Raw genomic sequence first — 20043 nt, forward strand, 5'->3', positions numbered from 1 at the left:
CTGAACCTCAGCAATACAACCTGTGCGGGGTGTGATGCACCTGTGGTCCCAGCTCCTCAGGAAGAAGCTGAAACGGGAGGATTGCTTGAGCCTGAGAGATGGAGTTCAGCCTGGGCCACACAGTGAGACCTCATCTCAAAGAATAGTAATAATTAATTTTTTTAGACAGGGTCCCGTCTGTCACGCAGGCTGAAGTACAATGGTGTGATCATGGCTCACTGCAGCCTCAACCTCCTGGGTTCGATCAATCCACCTGCCTCAGCGTCCTGAGTAGCTGGGACCACAGGCGCACACCACCACACCTGGCTAATTTTCGTTTTTGTTTTTGTTTTTTGTAGAGACAGGGTCTCACTGTGTTGTCTAGGCTGATCTCCAAATCCTGGGCTGCAGCCTTGGTTTCCCAAAGTGTTGGGATTACAGGTGTGAACCACCACACCTGCCCAGAAAAAAAAAAAAAAATTTGAGGCAGGATCTCACTCTGTCACCCAGGCTGAAGTGCAGTGGCACCATCTCAGCTCACTGAAACCTCCACCTCCTGGGCTCAAGTGATCCTCCAACCTCAGCCTCCCAAGTAGCTGGGACTACTGGTGCCTATCACCAGGCCCAGCTAATATTTATATTTTTTGTAGAGACAGGGTTTCACCATGTTGATCAGGCTGATCTTGAACTCCTGAGCTCAATGAATCCATCTGCTTCCCAAAGTACTAGGATTACAGGCACGAATCACCTCCCTTGGCCAAAACTTTTTTAATTAAATAAATTTGAGCAACAAAAGACACCACTGAGAAAGTGAACAGAAAACCCACTGAACGGGAGAAAACTTCTATAAATCATGTATTGGATGAGAGATTTGCATCTATGTATAAAGAACTCCTGCAGCTCAATTATAAAGACAACAAACCCAGTTTAAAAATGAGCATAACCAACACGCGTGTGGCCGGCCAGGCACCCGCTCCAGGGTTGAGACAGGAGAGGACTGATTGCTGAATCTCACGTGCTGGCTTTTTCCCTTCTCTCCCAACTCCTGCCCCTCCCAAAGCTGACACCAGAGCAAAGGCTTTGAAGTCCAAAAAGGCAGTGCCGAAGGCGCCCACGGCCACGAAACAGATCTTCCGAAGGCCTTGTGGCTCCAGAGGCAGCACAAACGTATCAGAAGGGCAGCCCCGGAAGAGGCGCTGCTGGCTGTACAGGACGGCATCTGAGCACGGCGCCGGCCTCGGGAGCGACTGCGGCAGAGCTCAAACGGACGCAAGGCCGAAGAGCACCCGGACAGGTGGACTGTGAGATGCCTCAGCCTCTGACGTGGCCCAGGGCAGAGCCAGGTGGGGCCTGATGGGGAGAAGGAGGACGCCCGGGGTGTTGCCAACATCAGGATCATCTCAACAGGAGTCCCGCACAGACATCTACCCAGAGACGATGAGTGAACGGCCAGCGGCAGCAGAGGACTCCCGGCCTCACCAGCGGCTGGGGGAAAAACCGAGGCCGGCGGGAGATGCCCCCGAGGGGAAGGAAGACGAGCACGCTGCCGCTGAGCTCAGGACTCCCAGGGCAGCCACTGGCACGGGAACATCTAAACCCCTGCCCTCTGAAGTCAGAGGCATCCGGCCCCCTCTCACTCTCCTGGGGCTCCTCACTGCCCCCCCAAGATCCCTGTCCTTGCCCTGTCCCAAAGCCAGGTCCAGCCCCCTCGCTGCCCATGCTGTCACTGCTGTCCTGACCGGCTTCCTGCGCCCTGCACTCCTCCGTCTGAGAGCACTTCTGCCCAGCTGCCTCTGCTCACTTGGCGTCAGGGACCATGTCCCCCCAAGGAAATCTTCCCTGAACCCCGGCCCTGGGGCCCCACTATCTCCCTGCCGCTCGGCCCGTGCCCATCCCTGTCACCCTCTGCTAAGATGCAGCTAGCTCTGCGGGAGGACGGGGAACACCCCCAACTCACCGGGTCCAAAAGTTCATCATCCAGCTCCACGCTGCTCATATGTCCGACTCGGAAAAGCGCAGAACGTGGTGACTAAAAGCAGAAGAGAAATCATGAGGGCGCTCAGGCGTCGCACGCTCTGCTCCGTGGATTCTCACTCCCGCCGCCGCACCCTGGCCTCGCCTGACCCTGCCCGGGAGCTCAGGAATGGGCTAGGCCAGGCCTGCCTGCTGGGTGGGGGCAGCAGGGCTGGGACGGGCCTCCCTGGGCCCTGGAAGCAGAACTGATCCGGCTGCCCCTCGGCCTGTCAGCGACACGTCCAGCCCGAGTCCAGGGCGCAAGCTCCCTGCTCTAGACTGAAAGCGAGGCACCTGCCACCCACCAGGAAAGAAGGGCTGGACAACACGCCGCCCCCAATGCAGTGCCCGCCACAGCACCCTGGGCCATCCTGCCCAACCCTGCTCCCGAGGCCCTGCTCAGCCACCTGCCACCTCCACAGAGTCACCTCCACTGCAGCCTCTCTGGGTCTTGAGACACAAACGGCTCCACAGTGTTCACGCTGCCCTCCCCACAGGACGCCCAGCTGTCAGGCAGAGCTGGGTGGGGTCTCAGCCACCTAAGGCTTTGCGGCCGCCCCAGCTCAGGGCAGGGGCAGGGCAGCGGGCCCTGGGTGGCGTGGTGCAGATGTGACTTACGGAGCTCCCACCCCAGTCTCCGGCTCCTTACTAGAGCCAAGGCGCTGAGGCCAGGCTAGGAGGAGCCAAGACCTCAGCCTCCTTTCCCCAAAGAGATCCTTTGGAGACGACTCCAATTTCCACTATCTCCTGAATCTTTAGCAACATCTGGGGACATGAAGGGAAGAAGGGCTGCCTTCCAGGTGGAGGGACCGCATGCGCAGGGCGCCCGCCATCTGCATCAGAGAGCCCGTGCGCCTGTCAGGAAAGTGTTGGCGGAGGAGTCCAGCGGCTGGTACCGGCCGTGGGAAGACCAACGAGGCTGCCGCCCGCCTTCCCTGGGAGCAGCCCTCCCGGCCCCCAACGCCGTCCCCTCCTCATCCCCCCATCTCTCCCTCCACCTTCCTCAGGCTCGGCCTCCCGCACCAGGTTTCAGCAGGGCCTGGAAGTGCTTCTTGGTGATAGAACGGCAGGTGATGGCGCCAGGAGCCCACAGGGCCGAGGTGGGGACGGGGAGACGTGCAGGAACGGCCTGCACTGGGGCCCAGTTTTCCCTCAACCTCCACCTATCCACGGGGATCACGATTACCACACACAGGCAAGGACACAGAAGCAGAGAAGGAAGGTTTGGGATCTGAGGTCACTGCGAGCCAGGGGTGGGGGTCCTGCTTTCTCTGGAGTGCTCACCCCTGAAGGAGACGGGCTCCCCAAACCGCCATCCCAGAAACTGCCTTCAGAACCAGACCTTCCCGGCGGGGTACAGTGGCTCATGCCTGTAATCCCAGCACTTTCAGAGGCTGAGGCGGGCAAATCACTTGAGGCCAGGAGTTCGAGACCAGCTGGGCCAACATGGCGAAACCCCATCTCTACTAAAAATACAAAAAGTAGGCGGGCTACTTGGGAGGCTAAGGCGGGAGAATCGCTTGAAGCCGGGAGGTGGAGTCTGCAGTGAGCTGAGATCGCACCACTGCACTCCAGCCTAGGTAACAGCAAGACTCTGTCTCAAAAAAAAAAAAAAAAAAAAAAAAAAAAAAAGAACCTGACCTTCCAGCCCACTGCCCTCCAGGGACCCCTTCCCCAACCATCGTCCTGTTACCAGCCACCGTCGCCCTTGCTGTACACCCCCCGTGTTGATGACCCGGTAAGTGGCCCTGGCAGGGGAAGGAACCTGGGCACGTGCCACTGGCCCTTGGCAGACACCAGTCAGAGCCTCCTCCTCTCCCCAGGCAAAGAGCACTCTCAGGCCATCCCCATCAAAAGCCAGGAGCAGAGGCCAGACAGACAGACAGACAGACTCGCAGGTGTCTGCCGTGGCATCTCCACGCCCAGGGGAGAGTGTGGGAGGGGCTAGAGTGCACAGGTCCTGCTGGACACAACCCTGAGTCACAGGGCGCCTGCCCCTCCTCTTCCCCCAGCCTTGCCACATGCCAGTGGCTCTCCCTGAGCCCTCAGTCACAGGCGAAACTCACAGCTTGAGTCTCCTGCCACACGGGCTGACGGTGGGAGGAGGAAGGTGCCACGGTCCAGGCATGATGGAAGCAGTGGCCTGGCCAGCTGCCCACTCCCTCTTGCTCACACTCACATCAAAGCCCCTGGACTCCAGGTCTCACCACCAGAAAACAGCCCTGGGACCAGCGCTGGGCCTCTGACCCCCACCTCCCAGGTGGACAGGTGCCCCGATGCCCCAAACAGAGACCACGGAACCCAAAAGACCCATTTCACCATGAGGAAGGACCCCACGTCCAAACAGGCACCCTGTGGGACACACCCTGCCCAGAGGGCCACCCTCTCCATCACTCAAGATGTCAGCACTTCTCTCTAACGCCACTCAAGGCCTGCCGTGCTTCTCAGGCTATTCCTTGCTGGAAATAACGGATCATTCTGGCCGGACGTGGTGGCTCACGCCTGTAATCCCAGCACTTTGGGAGGCTCAGGCAGGAGGATCGCTTGAGCCCAGGAGTTCAAAGCCAACCTGGACAACGTAGTGAGACCCTGTCTCTACAAAAAATCAAAATCAGCAAGGCATGGTGGCGTGTACCTGTGGCCCAAACTACTCAGGAGGCTGAGGCAAGAGGATCGCTTGAGCCTGGGAAGTCGAGGCTACAGTGAGCTATGGTTGCACCACTGCGCTCCAGCCTGGGCAACACGGCAAGACCCTATCTCTAAAATTAAAAAAAAAAACCCAAACAAAACGAAAACAGCCACAGTCACATGTCCTGGGCGCCAGGCCTGGGAGGCCTTGAGGAGGGCCACCGTCTACACCACGACAGCACTGTCCCACAGCAGCAGGCAGAGCCGCACATGCATTCAGGCCAAGGTGAAGGCTGCCGGTGCAGTATGTGACCAGCGGGCCACCCCCACCGCCGCCGCCTTGGCAGATCCGAGAGGGGTGAGGGGTGAGGGGTTGCCCCCCAGCAGGGCATCAGCTGCCCCTGCCCGGAGTGAAAGGATGGGGCTCCGGCGCCTTGCCTTCCCAGCATCTCTTTCCTTAACTCTGCCAGGACTTTGAGAAGGTGGCTTTCGTAATGGAAGAACACGACGTTTACTTCAAGTTCAGCAATGCATTCCGTGCGGTTACTTTCTTTTTTAAATGCAAGCTCTTATAAATTAAACACTAGATGCTGTTCCTCAAACTCCTGCCACACACGGCAACCTACACGGTCCCAAGCGCCGGACACTAACTAAAAACAGACAGGCTCAGGAACACGTGAGCCAACACTCCCGAGAGGCGAGACTCGGGCCGGACGGGAGGCGAGGTCATCAGGGTTGGGAGTGGGTGGGACTAGAAAGATGGGTCTGAAAATAGCCTGCACCCCCTTCCTGGTGCTTACGCGGATCTACACGCATTGCACCGACACTCTCTTGGTTTTGGGGCTGCGCTGTTACGGAAAGGTAAACATTGGGGGGAAACTCGGTGAAGGGTACACAAGCCCCCTGTGCTACCTTTGCTGCTTCCTGTGAATCCAGAGTGATTTAAAAGTCAAAAAAGGGCTGGGCACAGTGGCTCACGCCTGTAATCCCAGCGCTTTCGGAGGCCAAGGCGGGCAGATCACCCGAGGTCAGGAGTTCGAGACCAGCCTGGCCAACATGAAGCAACCCCGTCTCTACTTAAAAAAAACGAAAAAAAAAAAAAAAAATTAGCCGGGCATGGTGGTGCACACCTGTAATCCCAGCTACTCGGGAGGCTAAGGCAGGAGAACTGCTTGAACCCGGGAGGTGGAGGTTGCAGTGAGCCGAGATCCTGCCACTGTATTCCAGCCTGGGCAACAGAGCAAGACCCTGTCTCAAATAAATAAATAAAATAAAACAAAATAAAAGTCAAAATAATGTATAGAGGGGAACTACATCAAACTTTAAAACTTCTACACATCAAAGAAAACAACAGAGCAAAAGGTAACCTATGAAACGAGAAAATATTTGCAAATGTGATAAGGAATTAATATCTGATAAGGGATTAATATTCAGAATACATAAAAAAACTCAGGGTCAGGGGAGGTGGCTCACGTCTGTCATCCCAGCACTTTGGGAGGCTGAGGCGGGCTGATCACTTGAGGTCAGGAGTTCAAGACCAGCCTGACCAATGTGGCGAAACCCCAACTCTCCTAAAAATACAAAAATTAGCCGGGCATGGTGGTGGGCGCCTGTAATCCCAGCTACTCAGGAGGCTGAGGCAGGAGAATCACTTGAACCCAATAGGCAGAGGTCGTGGTAAGCTGAGATCACACCACTGCCCTTCAGCCTGGGCGACAGAGGGAGACTCCGTCAAAAACAAAAACAAAAATAAACAAAAAACCAAAAACCAAAAACAAACATAAAAAAGCAGCGTCTGAAAGTCCCACTTGCACGCCATGTTCACAGCAGCACCGTTCACAATGACCAAAATGCGGAAGCACCTGCTGTGCCGATGGATGAGTGAGTCAAGGAAATGCAGCCTCTCCCCGCAATGGAATAATTCAGCCATAAAGAGGAATGACCACCGACCCGTGCTGCAGCACGACGGGCCGGAGGACACTGTGCCCCGTGAAATAAGCCAGTCAGAAAAAGACAGCTCCCGCAGGTCCACTCGCAAGAGGGCCCTGGAGCCGTCAGGTCCCCTGAGGCAGATGGCAACGAGGGGGCTGGGCAGCAGGAGGAAGGGAGAGCGTTGAATGGGTGCAGTTTCAGTTTGGCAAGGAATGGGTTGTGTAACACTAAGAGCGTGCTCAACCCTACTGACTGCACTCACGGATGATTAAACGGTCATTAAACAAAATGTTTTTTAGAAACAAGGTCTTGCTATGTTGCCCAGGCTGGTCTCTAAGTCCTGGGCTCAAATAATCCTTCCGCCTTGGCCTCTCAAGTAGCTGGTATGAGAGGCGTGCACCACCATGCCTGGCTCAAAATGGTAAATTTATGGTATGTGTTCTTTACCACAGTTTTTTTTAAAACTTAAAGCAGGATTAAAGACCATTTGCTGTTCTGCTCGGCCTGTGTTGCGTCCTAACATTCAGCAGGCCTCTGCCAGGACCAGGCTAGACGCTAGGCACAGAGGATACAGCAGCTGCCCCGCGGGGGGATGGGGGTTACAGTCAAAGGAAACAAGGTGACACACAAAGGCCACAGAGACCAAGGAGAGGCCTTTGCTGTCCATGCAGTGTCCCCATGGCGTTAAGGCAGAGACCTAAAGCAAGACAGACACTGAACAGCAATGCTGGAGGGCAGGGAAGGGCAGGGGACAGCAGGGGAACCCTCCCAGGCTGGCAGAGGACTTCCTGGAGGCCAGAAAAGAACCAAGGGGCACTTCCTCAAGTACAGCAGAGCTCAAGGGGCCACTGGCGACGACCCCAGACCCTCCCCCGCAGCCTTGCTGCGCCCACAGTTCTTTCTCAGGCTGCGGTCTGTGGCTCCGGGTGCCCAGGCAGGACACAGTCCCACACTAACCCAGACCCCTGCCCTGCCAAGGTCTTATGTGGAGTGTCCCAACATGAGTTCCCAGGGATGTCCTGCAAATACCCACCTCCCCTCACTGCCCCCTGAGACCCAAGTGTTTCTGGCTCCAGCCGCTTTCCCTCTCAGTTCTCAAGGAGTTCTGCTTCCTGCCGCCCACACACGGCCAGGGCTGGCTGACCTCACCCTCGCCCTGTCCCAACACCACCAGATGAGCAGTGACTGGCTTGGTCAATTCACCACTACACCACACAAAGCAAGACCGGCCTGAGAACAGGAACAGCAACCCACAGGCAGCTCTGAAGGGCCTGGGCTTTCAGCGGGCACCCAGCCTCCAACAAGCCACTCCACAGTCTGCCCTGCCCAGGGCAGCCACCTCATAGTGTTTGGCCAGCTGTGCCCACGCTGAGGTGGCAACGACACCACCAGCCAACCTGAAAATCCTGCAACAAACCCTAAAGAGCCTGGAGGCAGCTAGGACCAGTTCTCATGTTCACTGGAACAGTCCCGTCAGCAGGGGATGGCCTGGGTTGATATTTTAGCTCAAAACAGCTCTGGAGGCCTTGAACCCAAGGGCAGCTTACAGTACCCCGTCTGTGGCCACACTGGGGTGCGCCTGAGCCTAACTGTGAGCTGTGCCCACCAGTCAGAGCAGACCCTCCCCCAGAAAAGCAGCACCAAGAAATCCAGTAGCTACTCAGGAAGTTGGACAGGAAAGTCACAACGAACACGAATCCCTCTTGTGTTGCTGGTTTTAACACGACCGGGCACGACTCACGTTTCTTCAGAGCGTAGTTTGTGACAGGCACCGTGCTCAGCGCTATGCATGCGTTAACTTTTTCGCAGACGGGAAAACTGGGCAACAGGGAGGCTACAGGCCTTGCAGGAGGCCATCGGCGAGTCCGATGCTCAGAGCACAAACGCCTGGCCTAAGAGGTGGTGTCTTGGCCTCTAGACTCCGCCTCTCCAGTCTGTCTGCAGGGGAAGGCTGGGGCCCTTCAGGAATGGGGTCCTAGCTTCCCATGGGCTCCCCTAGAGATGAGCCAAATTCAAAGCCTGTTCATGTGCGCAGCAGGGCTGACCTCCAGGCTCCACAGCGCATCCCAAACACACACTCCCTCTGTCCTTTCCCCCCGTCCGCCTGCCTGAAGATCTTGTGCTCTTCAAGCCCAAGCCTTGTGACTGCTCCTGCCCCAGGGGCCCTGCAGACCATCCGCACAGGGCACTGGGCCTGTCTCCAGCAGGAAGGAAGCAGCTTTATGCGCCTGCGTCCCAGGCAGCCACAGAGCAAGTGCACGATAAACTATTTTTTAAATTGCTTGTAAGCAGAGTATCCGCTGTTATTAAATGCAAACAAACAAATAAGCTTACAATGACTTTTAAGGGAATAGTTTTTTTATTTTTATTTTTGAGATGGAGTTTTGTTCTTGTTGCCCAGGCAATGGCGTGATCTCGGCTCAGTGCAACCTCTGCCTCCTGGGTTCAAGCGATTCTCCTGCCTCAGCCTCCTGACTAGCTAGGATTACAGGCGCTCACCACTATACTCGGCTAATTTTTCTATTTTTAGTAGACATGGGGTTTCACCATGTTGGCCAGGCTGGTCTCGAACTCCTGACCTCAGGTGATCCACCTGCCTCGGCCTCCCAAAGTGCTGGGATTACAGGCATGAGCCACCGTGCACAGCCGGGAATACTTTCTAAGGTTAAGAGATCAACAGATTATTTCCCAAAAAATCAACTCTTCTATTTGCAAAGACAGACAGGAAACCCCAAGCACATTCAGTCCCAAGAGAAACTCAAATTCAACCTCCATCAAGGTTCCTAATCTTTACCTTTCAGCCCTTAAAGTTGGGTTTATTCCTTCTACCTTGTGAACTTCAGATTTCTTTAATTAAAAAAATTTTTTTTAAATTTTTTGAGATAGGTTCTCAAACTCCAGCCTGGGCAAAAGAGTGACAAACTACCTCGGAAAAAAAAAAAAAAAAGCACCTCACTGCAGCTTCAACCTCCTGGGCTCATGCGACTCCTCTGCCTCAGCCTCCCGAGCCAGTAGCTGGGACTACAGATGCATATCACCACACCTGGCTAATTTTGTTTTTTTTTTTTTGAGACAGGGTTTCACTATTTTGCCCAGGCTGGTCTTGAACTTCTGGGCTCAAGTGATCCTCCCCTACCTTGGCCTCCCAAAGTGCTAGGATTACAGGCATGAGCCACCACACCTGGCCTTTCTTTTAAAACAGAAACACACACACACACACACAGAGGCATACACATACACACACAGGCATACACACAAATAACTAATCACCCATGGCCCCATCACTTCAAATTAACCCCTTCAGATCACTTTTCATGCAGACTACAGCACGGAGAGCAGGAGGGCCCACTTCAAAGGGAGCTGAGCTGCTGCTTCTTATCAGCAAAAGGCAGACTATGACCTTCTTTGTCTGGTGCGTTTCTAAGGAATTGGGAAAACCTAAATGTAGGTTCTATGGAAACAGGCTGATTTTCGTGTCCTTCCTAAACTTTTTTTTTTTTTTTTTTTTTTTTGAGACGGAGTCTCGCTCTGCCCAGGCTGGAGTGCAGTAGCGCCATCTCCGCTCACTGTAAGCTCCGCCTCCCGGGTTCAATTGATTCTCCTGCCTCAGCCTCCCGAGTAGCTGGGACTACAGGCGCCCGCCACCACGCCTGGCTAATTTTTTGTATTTTTAGTAGAGACGGGGTTTCACCATATTAGCCAGGATGGTCTCAATCTCCTGACCTCATGATCCACCCGCCTCGGCCTCCCAAAGTGCTGGGATTACAGATGTGAGCCACCGTGCCCTGCCGTCCTTCCTAATCTTTAAGCACAAGACAAGTGTTTAAAGGACTAGACAAGAGAAAATGTAAAGAATAACTGCAAAGCAGATTAAGACCCATCAACAAAACGGTCCATTAACTCAAAAGTAACACAATACGGCCAGGCGCAGTGGCTCACGCCTGTAATCCCAGCACTTTGGGAGGCTGAGGTGCGGGGGATCACGTGAGGTCGGGAGTTCGAGGCCAGCCTGACCAACACGGAGGAACCCCGTCTCTACTAAAAATACAAAATTAGCCGGGCGCGGTGGCGCACGCCTGTAATTCCAGCTACTCAGGAGGCTGAGGCAGGAGAGTCACTTAAACTCGGGAGGTGGGGGTTGCAGTGAGCCGAGATCGCGCCATTGCACTCCAGCCTGGGCAACTACAGTGAAACTCCGTCTCAAAAAAAAAAAAATATTAAGACAATACACAGACAGGGAAACAAATGTACCCGCAACGGTTCTCCAGACCTTAACACTGCTCAGACGCACGCTGCAGGGTGACATGCGGAACGCATTCCAACCTCTGACTTGCTGCTTATTGTGTTTGCCTGCACATTGCAAATTCAACTCGGTGCGAAGGGAGACTGAGTACAAATACTCGTCACTCCCAAGATCACCTGAAAGTCGGGACTGATCCCCACACAGAAAGATGGCAGATAAAGGCGCTCAGTCATTCTCACTGAAAGACAGTGACCCGGCTGCAATCTTAACTGTTTCCATCTCCCAGGGGGTCAAAAACGCAAACAAAATTAGTTGCTCGTGTAGGATGACAATTTTTAAAAGTCACCTGAACAGAAAGCCACTTGCACCCCTTTAGGGCCAGTCTGGGGGACACCGGAGGGAATGAACGTGCGCCACGGCTGCCCCGGCGCCCCTCAGCGCCCCACATTCCGCGGGGTCTGGCGAGCTCCGCCTCGCCCACGCAGCCCTCCCGGCCACCGAGCCCGGCGCGGCCTCCGAAGACTCCAGACCCCAGGCGCCCCCGCCAGCCCGGCCCCGCCGAGGAGCCCCGGGGCGCGTTCCCGAGTCCACCGCGCCTCGGTCGCCTCCAGGACCGAGACACGCGGCGCCGCCAGAAGGCTCACGAGGGCGCGGGCTGCGGGGCGCACGAGGGCTCAGTTTCCCCGCCTGCGCCCTGCCCGGCCTCACCTGGCGCGCAGCCCCAGGCCCAGCCCCGTTCAGCAGCGGCGTCCCCCCGCCGGGCCGCGCCGTCCTCCGCAGCAGCGGCGCCGCCTCCTCGTCGTCCCGGTCCCGGCCGGACCAGGACACCTTCTTAGAGACGTTGGCCATGGCCCGCCGCGGAGCGACACCGGCCGGGAAGCGCCGGCTGCCCCCGTGTTTGTTCTCGTGACCCGCGCCGGCGGCCACGTGACGCGCGACGGGGCCACGTGATGAGCGACGGCGACCATGTGACCTGCAACGGCAACCACCGAGGCCCGGTCGCGCGGGGGCTCCTGGGAGCCGCGCTCCCGGCGGGTCGTGGCGCCGCCCGCCCTAGAGAATCGCCGCGGCCCTGAGGACCCCGTTCTGCCCACGCGACTGCAAAGGCGGCCCCGTTGGGCTGAGCGCCGAGTGCTTGGGAGGCGAATGGCCGCCCCCGGGACCTCGGGCCCGGGAGTCGGGGCGAGGGAAGCGCCCGGGGCCTGAGGGCAGGAGCCGGCTGGAGGGGCTCCCCCAGGCCCGGTCGCCCGCGCCGATCGTGACGGAGCCGCGGTGGGGAAGGGAGGAGGGAGGCAGGGGCGAGGGCAGGCCTTTCCTTGCCATAGGCGGCGGCTAAAGACGTGAAGGATGAAATTAGAAGTCCCGAAGCATGCATCCGCCCTCGCAGTAGGCACTCGGGCGAGGGTCGGAGTGGAGGCTTCCTCCAGGCAGCCCCAGAGGGTCCTCCCGCCTAATGAGAAAAGAACAGAAGGCGAGTCCTCTTCAACGATCAGGCCCCAGAGACAGTACAGGAGGGTCGCCTCTGGAAACTGCCGGCTACTACGCAGATAGCTGTGAATTAGCCAAATAGCCGCCCGGACCCTGTACCCGCACCAGGGCACAGCCCATCACTAATCAATGGTATTTCCATAAACCAAAGAGAATTCTTGACAGCTTTACATCAGCCCCCACCCTGTCCCCACCTTCTGGGTCATTTATTTATTTATTTTGAGACAGGGTCTCCTTCTGTCGCCCAGGCTGGAGTGCGGTGGTGCGGTCACAGCTCAGTGCAGCCTTGACCTCCTGGACTCAAGCCATCCTCCCGCCTCAGCCTCTGGAGTAACAGGGACCACAGGCCTGCACCACCACACCCGGCTAATTTTTGCTGTGGAGCTCACAGTGTGTTGCCCAGGCTGTTCTCAAACTTCTGACCTCAAGTGATCCTTCCACGTTAGCCTCTAGAGTAAACTCTTTATATTTTGTGCCTCATCCTCTTCCTTTTAAAAGGTCGATATTTTTATTATTGAGACGGAGTCTCACTCTGTCGCCCAGGTTGGAGTGCAGTGGCCCAATCTCGGCTCACTGCCTCCCGGGTTCATGCCTCAGCCTCCCGAGTAGCCGGGACTACAGGCGCCCGTCACCATGGCCGGCTAATTTTTTGTATTTTTAGTACAGATGGGGTTTCACTGTGTTAGCCAGGATGGTCTCGATCTCCTGACCTCGTGATCCACCCGCCTCGGCCTCCCAAAGTGCTGAGATTACAGGCGTGAGTCACGGTGCCCGGCCTTTTTTTAAATTATTATTATTATTTTTTTATTTTTGAGACACAGTCTCACTTTGTCACCCAGGCTGAAGTACAATGACAAGATCATAGCTCACTGCAGCCTTGACCTCTTGGGTTCAAGGGATCCTCCTTCCTCAGCCTCCTGAGTTGCTAGGACTCTTCGTATGAGCCACCATGCCCGGCCATGGTTGGCATTTCTTTTTTCTTTTTCCTTCTTTTTTTTTTTTTTTTTTGAGACGGAGTTTCACTCTTGTCACCCAAGCTGTAGTGCAATGGCGCTATCTTGGATCACTGCAACCTCCGCCTCCTGGGTTCAAATGATTCTTCTGCCTCAGCCTCCCGAGTAGCTGAGATTACAGGCACCCGCCACCACACCTGGCTAATTTTTCTTTTTTTTGTTTCCTTTTGGTTTTTTTTGAGACAGAGTGTCGCTCTGTTGCCCAGGCTGGAGTGCAATGGCGTGATCTTGGCTCACTGCAAGCTCCGCCTCCCGGGTTCACGCCATTCTCCTGCCTCAGCCTCCCAAGTAGCTGGGACTACAGGCGCCCGCCACCACGCCCGGCTAATTTTTTGTATTTTTAGTAGACCCGGGGTTTCACCGTGTTAGCCAGGATGGTCTCAATCTCCTGACCTTGTGATCCGCCTGCCTTGGCCTCCCAAAGTGCTGGGATTACAGGCATGAGTCATGGCGCCAGGCCTAATTTTTGTATTTTTAGTAAAGATGGGATTTCTCCACGTTGGCCAGGCATGTCTTGAACTCCTGACCTCAGGTGATCCACCCACCTTGGCCTCCCAAAGTGCGGGGATTACAGGAATGAGGCACCGTGCCCGGCCCAGGGTCAGCATTTCTTAACGGTGAAGGGAAAAAAGAAACCTAGCAGGCGCCACCTGAACCAAGCAACCCAGTTCAGCATTGCTGGTGATGGGATAAGGTGGCATCGTGTGCCTCCTGATGTGATGCACCAGGAAGGACACAACGTCCCTTCCGGAGCATTCCTGCAAAACATGCTCACCTTGAGTCCACTCATAAAGGGGAAACACCAGATAATCCCACTTTGAGGGACAGCCTGCTGAACATCTAGGCCATCTTCTTCCACAATGTCAGTATTGTGAAAGAGACAAAGAGAGGCTGAGGAGACAACCTCACGTGGGTCTGGCATGGTTGAGACAATTGGCAAAGATTGGACATACACTGTATGAGCTAACGGTGTTGGAGCAGTAGTAAATCTCCCACGCGTGATCATTATATTGTGGTTACGTCAGGAAAGCTCCCCGATCTTAGGAGATACATACTGAAATACTTGGGACCTTGTGTTGCTATGTCTGCAGCTTACACTCGGACAATTCAAAACCTGACAATAATCATAATGAGTAGCAGCCTTCTGAGAGGGAGGGAAAATGGCAATGTTAACATCTGGCCCTTGGCTGTCTGCACCACCATGCAGCAGGCAAGAACGAGCACCTTAACCGAAGTGGCAGGAAGGGAGCCAAGAAGAAAGAGGTTGGTCCACTGTCTGAGAGAGACTGGCATGAGGCGAAAGCACCAGCTGTGCTTGGCATAAGGAGTATGGAAAACACCAGGCACAGGGACGTCAGGAACCAAAATCACACCCGATGGCCTCAAGGGCCGTGTTTTTGAAGTCAGTACTGCTCATCTGCAGAATGGTGAAGTTGCATCTGGAAAATTCAAGCTAATCACTGAGGATGTTCAGTGCAAAAACAGCCTGACCAGCTTTCATGGAAAAAAAAAAAGACCATGATTGAAGCTCATATGGTTGTCAAAACTACAGATGATCATTTGCCTCATCTGTTCTGTGCTGCTTTTACTAAAACAGTGCAGCAAGCAGATTGGGAAGACCTCTCACAGGCAGCACTGGCAGGCCCGTCAAATCCAGAAAAGATGGTGGAAATCATGGCCCAAGAGGTGCAGACAAATTACTCGAAAGAAGTGGCCCATGAATTGATGCTAGACAGCACTGGGAGAGACACAGAGAAGGTTCCCCAGTCTATCCAGGTATCCTCTCCAGGATGTCTTCCTTAGAAAAGTAAAAATGCTTGGGAAGCCCAGGCTTGCATTGGGAAAACTCAAGCTTTGTGGTGAAGGTCGCTGTCCTGGAAAAGCTACTGGGGATGAGACCAGTGCTAAATGTGAATGAGCTGACGGATATGAGCCCCCAGCCCAACAACCTGTTTAAAATTCAGGCTTTGAATGTTGATAACCAAACTAACATTTGACCCAGCAATCCCCTTACTGGGTGTATGCCCAAAGGAATATAAATTGTTCTATCATTAAAACACATGCAGGCCAGGCGCAGTGGCTCACACCTGTAATCCCAACACTTTGGGAGACTGAGGTAGGTAGATCACTTGAGGTCAGGAGTTTGAGACCAGCCTGGCCAACATAGTGAAACCCCATGTCTACTAAAAATACAAAAATTAGCCAGGTGTGGTGGCAGGCGCCTATAACCTGAGCTACTTGGGAGGCTAAGGCAGGAGAATCGCTTGAATCCAGGAGATGGAAGTTGCAGTGAACTGAGATTGCACCACCTCACTCCAGCCTGAGTGACAGAGCGAGACTCTGTCTCAGAAAAAAAGCAAAACCAAAAACACACGCACGCGTGTGTTGATTGCAGCACTATTCACAATAGCAAAGACATGGAATCAACCTAAATGCCCATCAGTGGTGGACTGGATAAAGAAAATGTGGTACATGTATACCATGAAATACTATGCAGCCATAAAAAAGAATGAGATCGTGTCCTTTGCAGGCACATGGATAGAGCTGGAGGCCATTACCCTTAGTAAACTGACCCAGGAACAGAAAAGCAAATACCGCATGTTCTCACATAAGTTGGAGCTAAACGATGAGAACACATGGACACAAAGGGAAAAAAACAGACACTGAGGCCTATTGAAGGGTGGAGGACGGGAGGAGGGAGAGGAGCCGAAAAAAATAACAAAATATTGGGCTGGGCGTGGTGGCTCACACCTGTAATCCCAGCACTTTGGGAGGCCGAGGTGGGTGGATCACTTGAGGTCAGGAGTTTAAGACCAGCCTGGCCAACATGGTGAAACCCTGTCTGTACTGAAGATACAAAAATTAGCTAGGTGTGGTGGCACACACCTGTAATCCCAGCTACTTGGGAGGCTGAGGCACAAGAATCACTTGAGCCCAGGAGGCGGAGGTTGCAGTGAGGGGAGATGGTGCGGCTGCACTCCGGCCTGGGCGACAGAGCGAAACTCCATCTCAAAAACAAATAAAAATAACTGTCCAGTACCAGGCTTAGTACTTGAGTGAGGAAATTATGTGTACAACAAACCCGCATGACATGAGTTTACCTATATAAAAAACCTGTACATGTACCCCTGAACCTAAAATAAAGTTTAAAAATAATAAATAAAGCCGGCCGGGTGCGGTGGCTCACGCCTATAATCCCAGCACTTTGGGAGGCCGAGGTGAGCGGATCACGAGATCAGGAGATGGAGACCACGGTGAAACCCCGTCTCTACCAAAAATACAAAAAAAAAAAAAAAAATTAGCTGGGCGCAGTGGCAGGCGCCTGTAGTCCCAGGTACTTGGGAGGCTGAGGCGGGAGAATGGTGTGAACACGGGAGTTGGAGCTTGTGGTGAGCCAAGATCACGCCACTGCACTCCAGCTTGGGTGACAGAGTGAGACTCTGTCTAATAAATAAATAAATAAATAAAATAATAATAAAGATAACACTTGAAGAGTCTAGAATAAATATATATGATGTGCAATGTATTCATCTGCAACTTTTTTTAGGCTTGAAATTTTTCCAAATCAAAAGTTTAAAAGTTCCTTAGAGGCCGGGCGCGGTGGCTCACGCCTGTAATCTCAGCACTTTGGGAGGCCGAGGCGGGTGGATCACGAGGTCAGGAGATTGAGACCATCCTGGCTAACACGATGAAACCCCATCTCTAGTAAAAATACAAAAAAATTAGCCAGGTATGGTGGCGGGCACCTGTACTCCCAGCTACCAAGGAGGCTGAGGCAGGAGAATGGTGTGAACCTGGGAGGCGGACCTTGCCGTGAGCCGAGATCGTGCCACTGCACTCCAGCCTGGGTGACAGAGCAAGACTCCGTCTCAAAAAAAAAAAAAAATAAATAAATAAATAAAAGTTCCTTAGAGCCTCTAAAGCTGAGAAGATAATGGAACCCTCCCTTGCTTATATCAAAATAAAACCAAAACTAAGCCCAAAATAAGAGGAAGGAAATCTAAAAGGGTTTTGAATTCCCCAGTGATTACACTACAATACTTTTTCTGAAATACCATGAACAACATTCTTTGAAAAAAGGTATTTTTCTCATGGGTGTGCCCTGCCTTTGTGCTTGTTTTGTTTTGTTTTGTTTTTGAGATGGAGTCTCGCTGTGTTGCCCCGGCTGGAATGCAGTGGCATGATCTCAGCTCACCGCAACCTCTGCCTCCCAGGTTCAAGCGATTCTCCTGCCTCAGCCTCCCGAGTAGCTGGGATTATAGGTGCGTGTCACCAAGCCTGGCTAATTTTTTGTATTTTCGGTAGAGACGGGGTTTTACCACGTTGGCTAGGCTGGTTTTGAACTTTTGACCTCAAGTGATCCACCTGCCTCAGCCTCCCAAAGTACTGGGAGTATAGGCGTGAGCCACCACGCCTGGCTGGCTTTGCCCTTTTGAGGGATGGTGACAAGGGCATTGCACCCCCATGTCATACAGGACAGCGAGCGTTAAAGATGAGAATGAAGCTGACTTTTCCAAGGCTCCCCACAAGCAGGCAGGAGTTGAACCTGGGTTAGTTTGATTTCAAAACTCTTGCTCTCAAATGCTTTGAGTCAAGGACTGACAGCAAGTCCCCTGGGGGGTTCAGAGGTGGGACAGTTCCCCTCCCCAGGCTTCTCAGAGGCAGGCACCATGTTGCCTGACCCAGTAGGAGTGCAGCACATTGTTGATTGAATTGAATGGATGGACTTGGGTCTTGTGGGTTGAGGAGGGTTTGGATGAAGATACCCAGGTGGGCAGAGAGCTGAGCAGAGTGCTGGAGTGGGGCATGGTGGGGCTGTATGCAGAACCCACAAGAACAGAGCTTGGGAAGAAGGGGTCATGCTGGGGAGGGGAAGCCAGGTCCCAAAGGCCATCCTTCTCAGCCCAGGGACCTAAGTGTGTCCTTTTCTGGGACAAGTGGCTGTTTCAGAAGAGGAATGGGCTGGGGGGTGGGTAGGGTGGGGGAGGGGCTCCTTGTCGGGAACTGACTTCCCCAGCAAGACAAGGGCCCCTGTAGGTTTTTTGTCTGTATTTTTTGTGGTTTGTCCTCCTCACCCGGAAACGTAACAGACTTGGTGAAAGGTGGGATTCAGTGGGCCTTAGAGGTGGGTGTGGTTCACACCTCAAAATGCACAGGTATGATTCTGCTGAGAAAGATCAAAAAATACAATGAGAAAGGAAAAAAGAAATGAGCAGGGGGCTTTGTTGCTGCTCCCAGTGGGGTTGGTGAGCCACATGAGATGGATGCCCAGACAGCCCTACTCCAAACCCAAGACTGGCCCCAAATCCCCACAATCCCCAAGCTGCCCCCATACTCCCAAGTCCAAGCCCTTGCTCTGCTGTTCTCCCACCTGGAGTGAGCTGAGCCCTCCCCGTGAAGCATCCTGAACGCCCACCTCTGCCGAGTCCCTGAGGCTTAGATTCTGTGGCCACGCAGCTGAATACCGCTGTGGCCCGGGCGACATCTTGGTCCCCCAGGGCGCTGGAAGCACCCGCAAGCTGGGGAGGGGCTGCACCCATCTGGGGGCCACTAGAGCCTTTGTCTCAAAGCCCTGCCCCAGTTCACCTTCTTGGGACCCTGGGCAAGACAACTGTGCTAAGGACATCACTGTCACAAGAAATATTTGTGACCCGAATGACCAATCTTTCCCCAAAAAAGACGTCCTATGGCTCCCTCCTCAAAGGCAGAGTGGGGTGGAGCAAGGGCGTTCCAGAAAGCATCTGAGGAGGCTGGGGAAAGAAAAAGGTTTGGGAAGGAGCTGCCGTCCATAGAGTTACACACTGTCATGCAGAAGCACAACTCGGTGAGTGACTCGGGGAACCGTCACGCCGGCATCCGCGGGGCTTTCCAGCTCTAAAATCCCATCTCTGACCTTGAGTCATGCACAGGTGGCACTGGGGGAGGCGGGCTGGGCTGATCTTGACCTGAAAGCCCAAACTTGCTGGGGTCCAGTTTGGGTCTACAGGCTGCTCTGCAGAGACATTGCTAGGAGACTCCAGGGACTGACTTAGGGCACTTTCCCCACGGTGCCAGCTGGGCAGGGTCCAGGCATCCGCAGAGCTGAAACCACCTACGCACTGGGCGGAGGGGCTCGGGCCCCTTGTGGATCTGCTAGTGAAGGCTGTGGGACCTCTCTCGTCGGCCTCCTCACTTTTCAGATAGGAAGAGGGAGAATGGGAGGGATTGGCAAATTCTGAGAACCAGGCCTGTTCTCTCGATCAGCGGATTTGGGCCCCTCCCCTGCCCCACCCCACCCCACGCCCCGCTTTCTCCTGTCTGCACCAGCTGACTTTTGGATTCTTGGAGATCTTGTGTTTGGGCCTTTCTTGGGAATCTCCAACATCATGAAGTCAATTTACACCAGACTGAAACTTCAGTACAAGTCTGTTCTAATGGTCAATGCAAATTTTGTTTTTTACCCTGCCGTGATTTGGAATTAAAAAAAAATTATCAAAAAGAGAGGCTGGGCACAGTGGCTCATGCCTGTAATCCCAGCACTTTGGGAGGCCGAGGCGGGTGGATCACCTGAGGTCAAGAGTTCAAGACTAGCCTGGCCAACATGGTGAAACCCAGTCTCTACTAAAAATACAAAAAAATTAGCCGGGCGTGGTGGTGGCAGCACCTGTGATCCCAGCTACTCGGGAGGCTGAGGCAGGAGAATTGCTTAAACCTGGGAGGTGGAGGTTGCAGTGAGCTGAGATTGCGCCATTGCACTCCAGCGTGGGC

General features: G+C 54.1%; 1 protein-coding gene and 1 pseudogene across 3 annotated transcripts in view, besides 3 other annotated features; one reads left to right on the forward strand and one right to left on the reverse strand.

The window, feature by feature from the left end:
* The window catches only part of CLCN7 (chloride voltage-gated channel 7), a 30094-nt gene extending 18396 nt beyond the window's left edge, over positions 1-11698 (reverse strand). The window contains exons 1-2 of one of the 3 annotated variants that reach the window (NM_001287.6): positions 11504-11698; positions 1937-2008 (exon numbers count right to left, since the gene is read on the reverse strand). In NM_001287.6, coding sequence (NP_001278.1) covers positions 1937-2008; positions 11504-11644 — 213 coding nt within the window. In that variant the 5' untranslated portion in view covers positions 11645-11698. Of the gene's footprint in view, positions 1-1936; positions 2009-8293; positions 8434-11503 lie in introns of those variants that run through there. The other 2 variants (XM_011522354.2, NM_001114331.3) reach the window with 2 other exon arrangements.
* Positions 11441-11650: a silencer, noted in NCBI's record as "silent region_6986". NCBI's record gives its function as "represses an Ori minimal core promoter by ATAC-STARR-seq in GM12878 lymphoblastoid cells {active_cell/tissue: GM12878}" and the evidence as "EXISTENCE:reporter gene assay evidence [ECO:0000049][PMID:35858748]".
* Positions 11658-12201: an enhancer, noted in NCBI's record as "H3K27ac hESC enhancer chr16:1524989-1525532 (GRCh37/hg19 assembly coordinates)". NCBI's record gives its function as "activates a minimal SCP1, AML or CMV promoter by ChIP-STARR-seq in naive H9 embryonic stem cells {active_cell/tissue: H9 hESC(naive)}" and the evidence as "EXISTENCE:reporter gene assay evidence [ECO:0000049][PMID:30033119]".
* Positions 11771-12120: a silencer, noted in NCBI's record as "silent region_6987". NCBI's record gives its function as "represses an Ori minimal core promoter by ATAC-STARR-seq in GM12878 lymphoblastoid cells {active_cell/tissue: GM12878}" and the evidence as "EXISTENCE:reporter gene assay evidence [ECO:0000049][PMID:35858748]".
* On the forward strand, positions 14653-15260 carry RPS3AP2 (RPS3A pseudogene 2; annotated as a pseudogene).

Source organism: Homo sapiens, chromosome 16 (genome assembly GCF_000001405.40).
Source record: "Homo sapiens chromosome 16, GRCh38.p14 Primary Assembly".
NCBI classification, from domain to species: Eukaryota; Metazoa; Chordata; class Mammalia; order Primates; family Hominidae; genus Homo; species Homo sapiens.